At 35.8% G+C, this 17105-nt stretch overlaps 1 long non-coding RNA gene across 2 annotated transcripts in view, besides 1 other annotated feature; it reads right to left on the reverse strand.

Moving 5' to 3' along the window:
• Positions 1 to 1670: 1670 nt before the first annotated feature.
• The window catches only part of LOC105374827 (uncharacterized), a 42559-nt gene continuing 27124 nt past the window's right edge, over positions 1671 to 17105 (reverse strand). The window contains exons 2-3 of one of the 2 annotated variants that reach the window (XR_940291.2): positions 14671 to 14864; positions 1671 to 1735 (exon numbers count right to left, since the gene is read on the reverse strand). This is a non-coding gene — a long non-coding RNA (uncharacterized LOC105374827). The remainder of the gene's footprint in view (positions 1736 to 14670; positions 14865 to 17105) is intronic. The other variant, XR_940292.2, reaches the window with a different exon arrangement.
• Positions 9146 to 9647: an enhancer, noted in NCBI's record as "OCT4-NANOG hESC enhancer chr2:81147049-81147550 (GRCh37/hg19 assembly coordinates)". NCBI's record gives its function as "activates a minimal SCP1, AML or CMV promoter by ChIP-STARR-seq in naive H9 embryonic stem cells {active_cell/tissue: H9 hESC(naive)}" and the evidence as "EXISTENCE:reporter gene assay evidence [ECO:0000049][PMID:30033119]".

The following is a 17105-nucleotide window of genomic DNA, read 5'->3' on the forward strand; positions in this document are numbered from 1 at the left end:
TGCATCAGCACATATGAGTTGTTCTTTACTCTGAACATCCTTTCTCCAAAATTGACAGAGAGCATTTTTTTCCACATATTAACTTACCTGCCTCACTTTAAGAATGTTGCTGTTCAAATGTCATCTCTTGATGCCTTACCTTACCATCCTTTCAGAAATTAACCTCTTCATTATCACATTACCTCGTTTTAATTTTCATCAAAAAACCTATCACTCTCAGATAGATCTCATAAATACATTTGCTTATCTGTTAACTGTAATTCTCCCTGACTAGAGTATAAAATCCCTGGGGGACAGATTTGTTCTGTCTTGCTCACTACAGGCTCTCCAGCACCTATTAGAGTATAAACACATGGTACTACATTCAAAAAAGTCTTGAATGAATACATGAGTCTATCTATTTCATCTAGAGACTTCCAGAACTTTCAAAGTAATTTTCTCTATACTTCATGTTTTCTTTCTTAAGATTTTAACTAATAATTCAACAAAACAAGTTTTTATCAAGATATTCATTTTTGAAATCTGCTTTTCAATGTTGGGCTTCTGTGAAAAAGTTCTGTGCATAATTTCATTTTTATAAAGTATTCTGCTGAAAAAATTAAATATCACTGTTAGATATAATCATCTCAATAACACAGCTAGGATTGTACCATATACCTGTTTTATTGATGATTATATTAGACCTCAGAAGCTTTAAGTAATTTGTCCAAATCACATAGATCTTAAATGCTATGGCTCAAATGGGAGTCATTTTTGCTTCACTGTAAAGCTCGTGGTTTTCTCAATTATCCGCGTCTTTAGGTCCTCATTATAATGAAGGTGAGTGCATTGAATGTAAGATGTGATACAGGACCAGAGATAAATTAAGTATGTTGATATACAGAGATGATACCACTATTTTCAAATAATTTCTCAAAGAGCTATGTTTAAATTGTTGAAGTAGAGGGACATGGGAAATACATTGATGGATGTTGTATAAGAGGCTCTGTTTTATATTAACAGGAATCACATAATATAGTCTGAAAGGCAGAATGGTCATTGGATACATGGGTTTCTTTCCTGAAACTTTAGCACACTGGATATGTCAATCTATATGCCATGCCAAGAGCATTTCTCTGTAAATGATTAGGAGAATGGGCTATCCATGATCCTGCTGCCAGAGGTGACTCAGTAGCACCAGTTGATGCTGGCTGCTGTTCACACAACCTTATTGTATGAACAGAAACATGGGGGAAGGGAGAAGTGATACATGGCCATAGGAAGAGCTACATCTTCTTTGATTTGGTATTGCCATGTTTTTCCCTAAATAATGAATGTGGGAATATTTTCAACCAGTAAAAAGAACAAAAAATTAATAAATACCCATAAAACAAAATTCAAATCCCTTAATGTAAAAGAAGTGTATAAAATTAAACTGTAGACAACAGATAAAAGCCAACAATACCACTGTGAATTATCACAAAACTACTTAATTGCATGAAGATAAAAATCAGGGAGAATAAATTTGAGGAAGTGCAATTAAGACTAACTTTAAAGAAATTGAATTTTATTTCCTTGTTCTAATTAAAAACAAGCAAATAAAAAATAAACAGCTGTTGCAATTACTTGGCTTCAGTTAAAAATGTCTATATTTGGGCTTCTTTTCTTTCATTTTTACTTGACATATTTACCTTTTGAGGGAAGCTGACCAAATGTGGAGAGTCAGAACTGTTCTGTAGAGTGTCAGCAAAGTGCACTAGTAATTAAGACACCAAACACAAATTAGTAAACTTTGAAGCTCAGCCAAGATCTGACTGTGGAAAAATGCAATTATAAACAAAACCATGAAACTTTATTGGGAAATATAAATATTTTAACTGTCATTAAGGACCTTAAGAAATAAAGAAACCTCCAAAGAATTTGTTCTGACATTCTTTTTAGATTCTTAAAGTATTATTTTCTTTCTCAGATATGCATTTTTCGTTTGAATGTTCTTTTTATGTGGCATAATATAAAAGCTTTACACAACCTAAATCACAATAGTTTTCCCCATTTAATTCTGCAGGGATAGGTTGAGGCTAAGGTCTTGGTGTCCTCTGAGTCATGCCAGACTGGAAACATTTGGAAATCAAGATGAGATATACCCACATATGAATGATGATGTTAGTAGAAACATTCAATTATAAGTAGTTTACTTGTTTGTCTAAGAGCAATACCAGTAAGATGGCACAACTGGCATCTAAGAAGATAGAGATCACTGTCAAGCATGTATGATGGTGGGACTCTCAGCTTTGGCAGAGAATTGATAAGAGCAAGGTGAGAGATGGATGGAAGGAGGAAGGGAGGGAGAGAGAGAAAGACAGAAAGAAAAATGTGTCACAGAGAATCTTTTTCACAAAATCAAGGGCTCCTAAACTAACAAACAAGCTTTTTACATCACAGTTGACATAGTGAGCAATTATCTGGGCATCTGGGTTGTTTGAATCTAAACGTAGTGGTTGCCAAAGTTTGGTGTATATTGGAATATGAATTCTTTAAAAAATTCTAATGCTTGGCTTCTACTTCCAGGTATTCCGATGTAATTGGCATGGGATAAGGCATAGGCATTGGAGTTCTTAAAGCTGCCCAGAAGAGTCTAATATGCAGTAAAGTTTGAAGAAACATGGGCTGAAGGTCAGGATTCACTCCAGAGATTCAATGCAGGGTTGATAGGTAGAAGGTAGAGAAGTAGTTCTAACTATAGGGGGAAGCTATTTTGATCGAGGAAATTTACAAGTTCCCAGGATCAATTGTGAGTCAGAAATAAGAATGGGAGCAACCCCTATTAAGTATTACCCCTATTAAGGTAATATGTATGCAATAAAGCTTCAGTAGTTAACACTGGGTGGTATTAGTCATGAACGGATAAATATCAATAGAAAAAATAGAGTTCAATATAGATCCAGACGTATGGCAATTTAGTACTTATTCAAGAAAACAACACAAATCAATGGTGAAATGAAAGAAAATTCATGAAATTGTGTTGGGACTATCAGTTAGTCATCAGGAAGGGTCACAATCTCCCAGCCTCTAGAAGCCTATCTCCAGGAAATTTAGGAATATTTTAGGGCAATAGGTTTGATGATCATAGGCAATTTAGGCAAGGTGATAGCTCTGATAGTTAAGGTGAGGTGTAATCATTTTTCTTCTGTTTTATATTCAGCAACTCCTCTAAGATTATAGGGGGTATCTTGTTTACATTAGTGCATCCCCAGATGTAACCACAATTTAAGCCACTATATTTTTTTAATTTTTAATTTTTGTAGGTACAAAGTAGGTGTATATATTTATGAGCTACATGAGATACTTTAATATAGGCATATGATGCCTAATAATCACATCATGGAAATTGGGTATCCATCCCCTTAACCATTTATCTTTTGGGTTATAAACAATTCATTTATACTCTTTTAGTTGTTTTTAAATGTTCTATTAAATTATTTTTACTATAGCCACCTTGTTGTGTAATCAAATAATAGGCCTTATTCATTCATTATAACTATTTTTTGTGCCCATTAACCATCCTCACCTTCTACATACTCCACACTATTCTTCCCAGCCTCTGGAAACCATATCTCTACTCCCTATCTCTGTGAATTCAATTGTTTTGAATTTTAGACCCCACAAATAAGTGAGAACATGCAGTGTTTGCCTTTCTATGCCTGGTTTATTTCACTTAACATAGTGACCTCCAGTTCTATCCATGTTGCTGTAAATAATAAGATCTCATTCTTTTTTTATGGCTGAATAGTACTCCATTGTGTATATATACCACATTTTCTTTCTTTATCAAATCATCTGTTGCTAGACACTTAGGTTGCTTCCAACTCGTGGCTATTGTAAACAGTGCTGCAATAAGCATGGGAGTACGTATATCTCTTTGATATACTGATTTCCTTTCTTTGGGGTATATATCCAGCAGTGGACTTCCTGGATCATATGGTAGCTCTATTTTTAGTTTTTTGAAGAACTTCCAAGCTGTTCTTCATAGCGGATATACTAATTTACATTTCCACCAACAATGTACAAAGGTTCCCTTTTATTCACATCTTTGCCCCCATTTGTTATTGCTTGACTTTTATATAAAAGCTATTTTAACTGGGGTGACATGATATCTCATTGTAGTTTTGATTTGTGTTTCTCTGATGATCAATGATGTTGAGCACCTTTTCATAGGCTTGCTTGCCATTTTTATGTCTTCTTTTGAGAAATGCCTATTCATATCTTTTGACCATTTTTTTAATCAAATTATTAGGGTTTTTTCCTTATAAAGTTGTTTGAGCTCCCTGTACATTCTGGTTATTAATCTCTTGTCTGATGGGTAGTTTGCAAATATTTTCTACAATTCTGTGGGTTGTCTTTTCACTTTGTTGATTATTTCTTTTGCTGTGCAGAAGCTTTTTAACTTGATATGATCCCATCTGTCTTATGTTTGCTTTGGTTGCCTGTGGGGATATGACTCAAGAAAATTTTGACAAGACCATGTCTAGGAGTTTCCCCAATATTTTCTTTCAGTAACTGCATAGTTTGAGGCCTTAGATTTACGTCTTTAATCCATTTTGATTTAAATTTTTATAATGACTTTGGGTGAGAGATACGGGTCTAGTGTCATTCTTCTGCAAATGGATGTCCAGTTTTCCCAGTACCATTCATTGAAAACTATCTTTCTCCCAGTGTATGTTCTTGACACTATGGTCAAAAATGAGCCCACTATAGGTGTGTGCATTTGTTTCTGGGTTCTCTATTCTATTCGACTGGTCTATGAATATGTTTTTATGCCAGTAATGTGCTGTTTGGTTACTATAGCTCTTTTTGCTTAGAATGGCTTCAGCTATTCTGAGTCTTTTGTGATTCCATATAAATTTTGGGATTTTTTTTTATATTTCTGTGAAGAATATCACTGGTATTTTGATAGAGATTGCATTGAATCTGTAGATTGCTTTGGGGAGTGTGAAAATTTTAACAATATTAATTTTTTTCAATCCATAAACATAAAATATCTTTCCATTTTTTGGTGTCTTTAATTTTTTTCATCACTGTACCATAGTTTTCATTGTAGAGATCTTTCACTTCTTTGGTTAAGTTAATTCTTACATATTTAATTTTTATTTGTGGCTACTATAAATGGGATTACTTTCTTGATTCCTTTTTCATATTATTCACTGTTAGCATATAGAAATGTTACTATTTGTAGGTTGTGCAACTGTACTGAGTTTGTTTATATATGCTAATAGTTTTTTGGTGTAATCTTTAGGTTTTTCTAAATATAAGATCATATTATATGCAAACAAGAACAATTTGACTTCTTCCTTTCCAATTTGGGTAAATTTTATTTCTTTCTCTTGTCTAATTGCTCTGTGCAGGACTTCCAGAACCATGTTGAATAACAGTGTTGAAAGTGGACATGCTTGTCATGTTCCAGATCTTACAGGACAGGTTTTTAGTTTTTCCTCATTCAGCGTGATACTAGCTATGGGTCTATCATATATGGCTTTTAGTATGTCGATGTATGTTTCTTGCATACCCAGTTTTTCCTGGGCCTTTTATCATGAATGAATGTTGAATTTTATCAGATGCTTTTTCAGCATCAATTGAAATGATCATGTGGTTTTTGTCCTTCATTGTGTTCATATGATGTATCACATTTGTTGATTTACATATGTTGAACTATCCTTGCATCCCAGTGATAAATTCCACTTGGTATGATGAATGATCTTTCTAATGTATTGTTGAATTTGGTTTGCTAGCAGTTTGTGAAAGATTTTCACACCAATATTCATCAGAGATACTGGCTTGTAGTTTTCTTTTATTGATGTGTCTTTGTCTGGTTTTGGTATCACAGTAATATAATACTGGCCTCATAGAATGAATGTGGAGGTGTTTCCTCCTTCTCTGTGTTTCAGAATACGTTGAATAGGATTGGTATTCATTCTTCTTTAAATATTTGGTGGGATTCAGCAGTGAAGCCATCAGGCCCCAGGCTTTTCTTTACTGGGAGAGTTTGAATTACAGCTTCTTTCTTGTTACTTATTATTTGTCTTGTCTAGGTTTTGGATTTCTTCATGGTTAAATATTGATAGATGGCATTTGTCTAGGAATGTGTCCATTTCAGCTATATTTTCCAATTTATTGGCATATAGTTGCTCATAGTAGCCACTGATGATCCTTTGAATTTCTGTAGTATCAGTTGTAATGTCTCCTTTTTCATCTCCTATTTTACTTAGATTATTCTCCTTTTTTTTCTTTGTTAGTCTTGTTAAAGTTTGGTCGATTTTTTTTATTGTTTCAGAAAACCAGCTTTTCAATTGATCTTTACTATTGTTTTCCTCATTTCAAATTCACTAACTTCTGCCCAGGCGTGGAGGCTCATGCCTGTAATCCCAGCACTTTGGGAGGCCAAGGTGGGTTGATCACCTGAGGTCAGGAGTTCAAGACCAGCCTGGCCAACATGGTGAAACCCCATCTCTTCTAAAAATACGAAAATCAGCCAGGCATGGTGGCAGGAAACTGTAACCCCAGCTACTCGGGAGGCTGAGGAAGAAGAATTGCTTGAACTGGGGAGGTGGAGGTTCAGTGAGCCAAGATTATGCCACTGCACTCCAGCCTAGGTGACAGAGCAAGACTCTGTCTCAAAAAGCAAAACGAAACAAAACAAATTCACTTATTTCTGCTCCAACCTTTATTATTTGTTTTCTTCTACTAATTTGGGGTTCAGTTTGTTCTTGCTTTTTTAATTTTGTAAGATACATCATTGGTTTATTTTAATTTTTTCTTCTTTTTTGATGTAGGCACTTATAGCTATAAACTTCCCTCTTAGTACTGCTTTTGCTGTATTTCATAGGTTTTACTATGTTGTCTTTCCATTATAATTTGTTTCAAGAAATTATTCAATCTCCTTCTTACTTTCTTCATTGATGGACTTATTATTTAGGAGCATATTGTTTAATTTCTGTGTATTTGTATAGTTTTCACAATTTTTATTTTTGTTGACTTATAGGTTTATTCTATTGTGGTCAGAGAAGATGCTTGATATTATTTCAATTTTTTTGAATGTTTAAAAACTTGTTTTTGGGAACCAATATAGGGTCTATCCTTAAGAATGATCCATGTGCTGAGAAGAAAAATTTGTATTCTGTACTGTTTGGATGAACTGTTCTATATATATCTATTATGTCCATTTGGTCCATAATGCAAATTATGGGAGATCTTCACTCTGGGAGATATTTCCAGTGCTGAAAGTAGTGTGTTGACATCTCCAGCTATTATTATATTGGATCCTATCTCTTTCTTTAGCTCTGATAATATTGGCTTTATATGTTTAGGTGCTTCAGTATTGGGTGCATATATATTTACAATCATTATATCCTGTTGCTGGATTGACTCTTTTATCATTACATGATAACCTTCTTTGTCTCTTTTTATAGATTTGTCTTGAAATCTATTTTGTCTGATGTAAGTCAAGCTACTCCTTTTCTTTTCTAGTTTCCATTTGCAGGAAATATTTTTTTCCATCCTTTTATTTTCAGTCTGCATGTATTTTTATAGATGAAGTGTGTTGCTTATAGGCAACAGACCACTGAGTCTTGTTATCCATCCAGATTCTGTTTGTCTTTTGATTGTAGAGTTTTCATCTAATTTACATTCAATTTTATCATTGATAAGTAAGGACTTATTCCTGCCATTTTGTTATCTGTTTTCTAGCTGTTTTGAGGTCTTCTCTTCTTTCTTTCCTTCCTTTCTGTCTTCCTTTTAGTAAAGGTAATCTTCTCTGGTGGTATGTTTTAATTTCTTGCTTTTAATTTTTTTGTATCCATTGTATTTTTTTATTTGAGGTTACTATGAGGTTTGCAAATAGTTTTCTACAACCCACTACTTTAAACAGATGACAACTTAACACTGACTGCATAAACAAACATGCAAAAATAAACTCATAAAAATGCTACACTTTAAGTTCATCCTCCCACTTTTTAACTTTTTGTTGTTTCTCTTTATTTCTTATTGTACTATGTCTTGAAAATTTTTCAGTTATTGTTTTTGATTGGTTCATTATTTAGTGTTTCTAATTAAGAATAGTTTATACAACATAATTACAGTGTTATAATATTCTTTGTTTTTCTGTGTGCTTACTATTACCACTGAGTTTTGTACCATGAGATGACTTCTTTCTGCTCATTAAAATTATTTTCTTTCAGATGGAGGTACTCCCTTTAGCATTTCTTGTAGGACAGGTCTGATGTTAATGAAATCCCTTAGCTTTTGTTTGTCTCCAAAGGTGTTTATTTCTCTTCCACGCTTGAAGGATGTTTTGGTCAGATATAATATTCTAGGGTAAAAGTTTTTTATCTGTAGGTAATTTAAATATGTCATGTCCTGGCCTCTAAGTTTTCCACTGAAAAGTCTGCTGCCAAACATATTGGAGCTTCATTGTATGTTATTTATTTCTTTTCTCTGGCTGCTTTTGGGATTCTTTATTGTTAGCCTTTGGGAGTTTGATTACTAGATGCCTTGAGATAGTATTTGGGTTAATCTGCTTGGTGTTCTATAAACTTCTTGTACTTGAATGTTGATATCTTTCTTTAGGTTTGAGAAGTTCTGTGAATGTTGTGGGAAGTCAGGGACCTGGAACAGAGGTACTGGCTGAAGCCATGGCAGAAGAACATGGATTGTGAAGATTTCATGGACATTTCTTAGTTCCCCAAATTAATACTTTTATAATTTCTTACACCTGTCTTTACTGCAATCTCTGAAGATAAATTGTGAAGATTTCATGGACACTTATCACTTCCCCAATCAATACCCTTGTGATTTCCTATGCCTGTCTTTACTTTAATCTCTTAATCCTGTCAGCTGAGGAGGATGTATGTCACTTCAGGACCCTGTGATGGTTGCGTTAACTGCACAAATTGTTTGTAGAGCATGTGTGTTTGAACAATATGAAATCTGGGCACCTTGAAAAAAGAACAGGATAACAGCAATGTTCAGGGAATAAGAGAGATAACCTTAAACTCTGACTGCCAGTGAGCCAGGAGGAACAGAGCCATATTTCTCTTCTTTCGAAAGCAAATGGGAGAAATATCATTGAATTTCTTTTCTCTGCAAGGAACATCCCTGAGAAAGAGAATGGGCCCCTGAGGGTGGGCCTCTAAAATGGCCCCCTTGGGTGTGGCTGTCTTCTGTGGTCGAGACTGTAGGGATGAAATAAACCCCAGTCTCCCATAGTGCTCCCAGGCTTATTAGGATGAGGAAATTCCGGCTAATAAATTTTGGTCAGACTGGTTGCTCTCAAACCCTGTCTCCTGATAAGATGTTATCAATGACAATGGTGCCTGAAACTTCATTTGCAATTTTAATTTCGCCCCGGTCCTGTGGTCCTATGATCTTGCTCTGCCTCCATTTGCCTTGTGATATTCTATTACCTTGTGAAGCATGTGATCTCTGTGACCCACACCCTATTTGAACACTCCCTCCCCTTCTGAAAATCACTAATAAAAACTTGCTGGCTTTATGGCTCAGGGGGCATCACGGAACCTACCGACATGTGATGTCTCTCCCGGACACCCAGCTTTAACATTTCTCTCTTTTGTACTCTGTGCTTTTATTTCTCAACCCGGCCGACGCTTAGGGAAAATAGTAAAGAACCTACGTGACTATCGGGGGCAAGTTCCCCGATATGTGAACATTTCTTTGAATAAGCTTTCTAGCCCTATCTCTTTCTCTGTCTTCTCTTTAAGGATAGTAATGCTTAGATTTGCCCTTTTGAGGCTATTCTCTAGGTCCTGTAGGCATGCTGCATTATTTTTTATTCTTTTTTCTTTTGTCTCCTCTGATGGCATATTTTCATATATCCTGTTATTAAGCTCACTGATTCTTGCTTCTGCTTGATCAGTTCTGCTATTAAGAGACTGATGCATTCTTCTGCATGTCAATTGCATTTCTCAACTCTAGAATTTCTACTTGTTTTTAATTATGGTAATATTTGTTAAAATATCTGATACAGTTTTGAATTTATTATCTGTTTTATTTTGAATTTTTTGAGTTTTCTTAATACAACTATTTTGAATTCTCTGTCTGAAAGGTCATGTATTTCTGTTTCCCCAGGATTGGTAGCTGGTGACTTATTTAGTTCATTTGTTGAGGTCATGTTTTTCTGATGATTTTGCTGCTTGTAGATGTTCATCAGTTTCTGGGCTTTGAAGAGTCAGGTATTTATTGTAGTCCTCATAGTCTGGGCTTCTTTGTGCCTGTCCTTCTTGAAAAGGTTTTCCAGGTATTAAAGGGGACTTGGGCCCCAAGCCCAAGAAGATTATTTTTGCAGACTTGTAGAGTTACTGCTTTGTAGTCTTCAATAGGATCCAGATAAATTCTCTGGATTATCAGGCAGAGACTCTTGATCTTTCCCTTTACTTTCTCCCAAACAGCATCTCTTTCTCTGAGCTGAGCCACATGGAACTGGGCATGCGGTGATGCAAGCAACCATTTGGCCACCACAGCTGGGACTACTCTGGGTTTAACCTGAAGCTGGCACACCACTGGATCTTGCCCAAGGCCAGCTGTAACCACTACCAGGCTACCACCTTTGTTTACTCAAGACCCCAGGGCTCTATAAACAGCAAGTCATAAAACTAGTCAGGTTTGTGTCCTTCCCCCAAGGCAGGTCTAAAGATACTGTCTGCAAGCCAGTGATTGGAATTAAAAAAAAAAACCTAGAAATTTATTTCTTCCTCTCTCACTCTCTTCCTCTCTGTTTTTTGTATATACTTTTGTGGGGTGACAAGGTCTCTACTCAGCTCATATTTAGAAGATTCTTTTTTTTCTCCAGAGAATCTCTCATCATTGTCATCAGTGTTAGGGGCCTCCTCCATTAAAATGGTTGAATTAGCTCCCTGACTGTGCCACAAATATACCGTAGGTAATTTTACTTATAACTTGGAGATCTATATCTGTTTTGATGACAGAGGCATATGCAGTAACATCAACAGTAAAGACATTTTGTAAGGTTTTATTGTGCCATCTGCTTTTAGGAGTGTGGATCTTGGCATGCCACCTAGTAACAGCTCCTCTTCTGCTCAAAGTGAACCCACATATTTTATAGGGTATCAGTCTTTCCCCTGATGACTCTATAGAATGGAAGCCAGTGCCCGGTTAGGACACAACCAAGAGTCACAGGATGAGAGTCATTCTTCTCAGCATAAAGTTCTGCCACGGTGTATGTTGAAATTGAGACACACAATAGGTCCAGGCTGAGGCTGAGACACACAAGCCAAGGCCACTATAAGAGGGGGCCTCAATTTCATATGACTCATAACAAAGACTGGGTAGAGCTCAGCAAATGCAGCACTGTGCAGCACAGCTGAAGGCACAAACTTGCCTGAAGGCAGCAACACAGCTCAAAGAGCTTGCTAGCCAGCAAGCAGCTGATCAAAAGGATTGCTCCACTGGCAGGCAGCAGAGCCAGTCATCAAGCCAAAGCAAGAGAAGAAAGACCCCTGCTAGTGGTGGATATCATCTACACATCCTGCTCATAGCACCACTGTTTCAGATATTCCACAAAAAGAAGACAGCCTCTCTCAACACTCAAAGTTTGAAAAGCTTGCTACTCACATAAGGGACTTCCAGGGAGAGTGAGGTGGCACAAACAGACATAGATTGGCTTGAGGGATGCAAAGTGAGTGGATCAGGCCTTATAGCGGATAGAAGTTTTCATGAGCTGGAATTTTGTGAGGTTTGAATTTCCGGCAGCCACCAAAGGAGGAGAAATGTGCAGGATTTCTTAGCTTATCTATTTAATAGATGTCAGACCAAAGGATTAGAAGAGGGAGAGGCTTAAAAGAAGTCAGCAGTCATACATCCAAAATATGGAGTCAGGCCTCTTATTACAGTTTTTAATAATTTTTAAATTTTGAATCTTGAGAAAATATTACACGTTCAAAAACTAAATAAACCCTCACCCTCATTCCCTCCAAAAATTGAAAGCAACGAGGAATCACTATAGGTGATTGAAACTATTATTTTCTATTCATAATTCCTTCCTATCTAAATTATTTCTCTATGCATTATTTTCTCAGGAGTCTCTTTTCTTGTTAAAAATAGGATCCAAGAGAAACATAAACAATTATTCATAACAGGAAGAAAACTTAGAAATTCTTTCATCTAATACCTTTCTGAAACAGGTTTTGAAACTAATTCTAGAGATTTAGTCTAAATGCCCAAAGTGGGGTTTAGAATTAGTCTTATCATAAATAATTGTTTTTGTTTCTTAGTTTGTTTTGGGAGTATCTGAAAGTAACCGTTAACATCTGCATTTCCATAAAGGTATGAGTTTCTCATAACCCCTGTCTTGATTTCTCCACATGAGCTTCTGTCTTTAAAAAAAGTTTTTTTCTTCTGGGAAAGGAACTGAATTTCAATTCATTTGGATAGAGTTTTGATCCTCATCAAAGGCTTGATAATAAAACACAAGCTTATCCTCTGTCTCCACGATGGTATTCATGACTAGAAACTGCTCCAAAGATTACACCAACTCTGTCCCACAGCACACCTCAGTGATGGCTGTCTGAAGATTTCTGTTGCCTAGACCTGTGTTGGCTTAGACAAGTTGAATTTTGCTGTATCGCTTTGAGGCCAGTTCTGTCTCTCACATGAAGTTCTGCTTTTCTCATTGGCTTTATCTGAATTGTCAACAGTCCTCAGAGCCAAAGCTTATCAGTGTTATAACTTCTTCTAATACCTTATTTTCTTCATGTTCCATTCTTTAGTGGGACAGGAAATTCAGATTTGGAGACATTTCTGAGCACATGAGAATATGATCCCCCTGCTTCCACATCTCCTGTTCTCTATCTCTGCTTGTATAGCTAAATAATACTCAACACAAATTATTCTGCATTTTCACAAAAAGCTCCTTTTTCTCCAACTAACTCAATCTAGTGTAATTTTGAGTACTTATTATACACAAAGGTTTAAGTGTAGAGACTGTCTTTTAACTTTCTTTTCCTATCACTCCCTACAATGCCTGAAAGAGCAGTCAATAATACTGGCTTTATAGAGGTCATATGGTACAGTTGTTTAGAATTTCTGAGTTATTCGTATACATATTATACACTCAAAATTTTGTTTAGATACTGCCAAATTTCCATTCTAGAAGTTGTACTGATTTGTAATACTTTTAACAATAAATATAGATGTCCATTTCTTTCTCTTCTTTGGGTTCACAGTATATAAATCTATAAAATACATTTTCTTAAATTTGCATTGTTGATTACTAAATAAGGTAAGCATCTTTTCACAAGTTAATTGGATCATAATTCTTTGCACATTTCTTTATAGGTTTGTCTTCTCAGTGATTTGGGAGACCTATTTACTGATATGAATTTTAATTGCTTGTCTTATTTCTAAGCTGCACAGATTTTAGAAGTGTTTTCCTTAATTTTTAATGACTTAAATTTTCAGTTAATTGTAGATTTACATGCAGTTTTAAGAAACAACACAGAGTGATTCTGTGGACTCTTTACCCAGTTTTCCTCAAAAGTAATATTTTGCAAAACTGTAGTACAATATCACAACCAGGATATTGACATTTGGGATATTGACAGTCAAGATACAGAACGTTTCTATCACCACAAGGATACCTTATGTTGCCCTTTAATAGGCAAATCTACTTTTCTCCCTCCCCTACTCACTCTGTAACCCTTAGCAACCACTCATCTGTCCTCCATCTCTATTATTTTGTAATTTCAAGAATGTTAAGTAAATGATATCATGCAGTATGTAATCTTTAGGGATTGGCTTTTTTCATACAATGTAATTACTGAGATTCATCTATGTTGTTGTACTAATAATCCATTTCTTTTTATTTCTGAGTAGTATTCCAGAGTGTGGATATCCCACAGTTTTTTAACCATTTATACACTGATGGGCATCTTGGTTGCTTACCAAGATGTCTGGGGCTGTTATGAATAAAACTGATATAAAATTAATGTGTAGGTTTTTGTGCGAACATAGCTTTTACTTCTATTTTCTTTGAAATTTTAAAATAACAATTTATAGAACTGGTGCTATTTAAACATTTGGTAGAATTCTAATCTTCCGGGCCCAAGATTACTTTTGGGGGAAGGTTTTAAAATTACAAATTCAATTTCTTTAATGGTTTTAGGACTATTCATGTGATCTTTTTTGTCTTGGCTAACTTTGCATTCTTAAGCTAGCTTATAGTTGGTTTTTAGTGATTGTTAAATTTTTTAGTTGAATTATCCTACTGATTATATGGATTTATCCCCCTGGTAAGATGGTTGTCCTGTCTTCTTTCTCCTTAGGGGCAGTCTTTCTCCCAGATGTAGGATTAATTGATTGACTTGCAACCTTAGTTTTGTAATAGATTCCAAAAAAGTCACTAATTTGCAATTTGTCTAGTTTTTTTCTTACAGTAAATGTAGAAGTATTGCCTTTGCCACTTTCTGTATTATTAAGCTATGGTCCTAAAATAGCTTCATTTGATATTAGCATTTTCTTTTATAAGTATATACTCTTCTGGCTTTGAGCAATAATAATAAAATGCAATACCTATATAGAAAATTTATAGTTTAAAAGTTCTTCCACATGTAGCCTTATTTTTACACTTCCTGTCATATTTGGAAAAAAAGTGGTGAAATCATTTACCCAAATTAATCCAGTTAGCGACACAGAAGGAAAGGAAATTAGAACTTCTAAATCCAAGCGTGTTGCTCTTTCCTGTGAATGGCCTGTCCTTTGTTCACCATCTCTTCTTCCCTGGTACCCTCTTTCTCCAAAATCTGTTACCTCCAAGGAGATCTTGGAACACATGGCATAATCTCAGTGTCATGGTGGACAATCTGAAACACAGAAGAAATATGAAGTAGTGTGTGAATTGGGCCCCAAACTATACATAGAAGAAATATGAAGTAGTGGGTTGAATTGGGCCCCAATCAAAAACTATCTGCCTATATTTCACACTTTGTATGCTTTAAAACAGTGGTTCTCAAATTGCATAAAGTGCATGAAGAATCACTTGGAGAGCTTGACAAAAACATAGGCTCAGGGATTCTCCTTCAGTAGGTGGTGGTAGGACCAATGCATTTACATTTCTAACGAGCTCACAGCTGATCCTGATGCTGCTAATTCTCAGGACCACTGAGTGAATAGCACTGTCTTAGACCTGTATTTCTTTAATGTGTTCATGGCTCACTCACATCCAAATCACCTAAAGTGCCCACTCCTGACCTACTGAATCAAATTAAGTGGAGGAGGGAGCCATGAAGCTAAACATAGCATGTCATGATTTCTATCTACACTATTGTTTGTGAAACTACACTGATGCAGGATTTTTTGCTCCTTAGCTCCACTAATCTAGGTTCTTGTCTAATGACCAGGAAGAATTAGGCATGCAGACACATTGAAGGGTGAAGAGAGCAGAATTTATTAAGCGAAAAGAAAACTCTCACCAAAGAGAGAGCATCCTGCAAGCAGGTTTTCATCTCCCAAATTGAAAACCAGGGCCACAACCAATGAGCTGAAGAGGCCAGGCTATACCCCTGCATAAGGCATGAATTCCTGGTGGCTCCACCCGATTTCCCCAGTGCATGTGGGCTTCTGTCTGCTGTGGGCATGCCCAGGCAAGCCCCCTGTGCAGGTTCCCTCATCTGTACAAAATATCTGGCATAAACACTTGTGGGGTGGGTCGGAGATTCTCCGGGGACCCTTCCCTATCTGCATAGGCCTTTGTCTGCCTCCTGCCTCTATCAACACCATGATTCTCAAACTTTGCTATGTATTGTATTTCCCTGGCAATATATTTCTAATGCTTTTATCTCATCTCTACACATTCTAATTTAATTGGCATGGGGAGCAAGCAGGGCATCAGGAATTATAAAAGCTCCCCAGGTGATAATAATATGCAGTGAAACCATGGGTCTGAGACATAAAATTGGAGCTGTTCTAGAGAATGTTAGTTATAACCACTGAGCAAGTTGAGAGATTCTTCAGTGTTTTTTGTAATTCAGGGTTAGAATTAGTTAAATCTGTTTTGTACCTAAAATTACCATGTTTATTCAGTAATAAAAAGAATTCTCTTCATGAAGTCCAAAGGCCTTGTTCTTAAAAGAAACACATATTTAATTCTGGAATTTAATGAAGTCAGCCATTTATACAGGATTTTATTACACAGTGTTTTAATTGGAATTTTAGTTGATCTTTTGCCGTTTGACACAAATCTAAAAGTCACAGGGAACAATTAAAACAATGTCATCATAGCCCCAAGATTTTACATTAATCTCCTAAACTTACTGATAGGGACATTCAAATATTCCAATAATTGAGAACATGCAGAAAGGGTAAAATGCTGGTTGACATATTTTTTTAAAAAAATGTGAGTGTGTATTTGTGTGTATGTTTCTGGGTGCATTTTTGAATAGCATGCAAAAATAATAGTTAGATCTCATGAGAAATGGCCTGTTTCCAAATAAATGTTATGAAACATTTGAAAAAAGATATACCAAATCTCCTATCAGTGTAGTTTCTTTTAAATGATTTCACTACATTTAATTTTTTTAAAAAGGAGGGATTGGTATGTTTTCTATTTGATGGCAGTCCAATGGACAAAAAACCTTTTGGTTAAAAAAATTTATATTTGTGTAGACTCTACTTTCTCTCCCTTTTGTATATTTAGAAACTATTTATCTGTTCCCACATTCACCTAAGCAGTTACAGTGACTTTTAGAGGTGCTTCTTCTCTCCAATTTTCAGTGATTCTTCACACTTCAGAGTTCAGGATTTTTTTCCCGGTGTAGATATAGGCAAATAGAAATAGATTCTCTCTCTCTCTCTCTCTCTCTCTCTCTCTCTCTCTTTCTCTCTCTCTCTGTCTCTGTGTGTGTGTGTTTGTGTGTGTGTGTCTTTCTCTCTCCCCACATCATCTTTAATTATCTTTAATTACTTGATTAAAGGAATATAAGCAAATTCTAAAGGTTGGTGTGGATATAGACAAATAGAGATATAGACATTCTCTCTCTCTGTCTCCCCCCTCTCTCTCTCTTTCTGTATGTGTGTGTGTGTGTGTGTGTGTGTCTTTCCATCTC

The sequence above is a fragment of the Homo sapiens genome, chromosome 2 (genome assembly GCF_000001405.40).
Source record: "Homo sapiens chromosome 2, GRCh38.p14 Primary Assembly".
Lineage (NCBI taxonomy): Eukaryota > Metazoa > Chordata > Mammalia > Primates > Hominidae > Homo > Homo sapiens.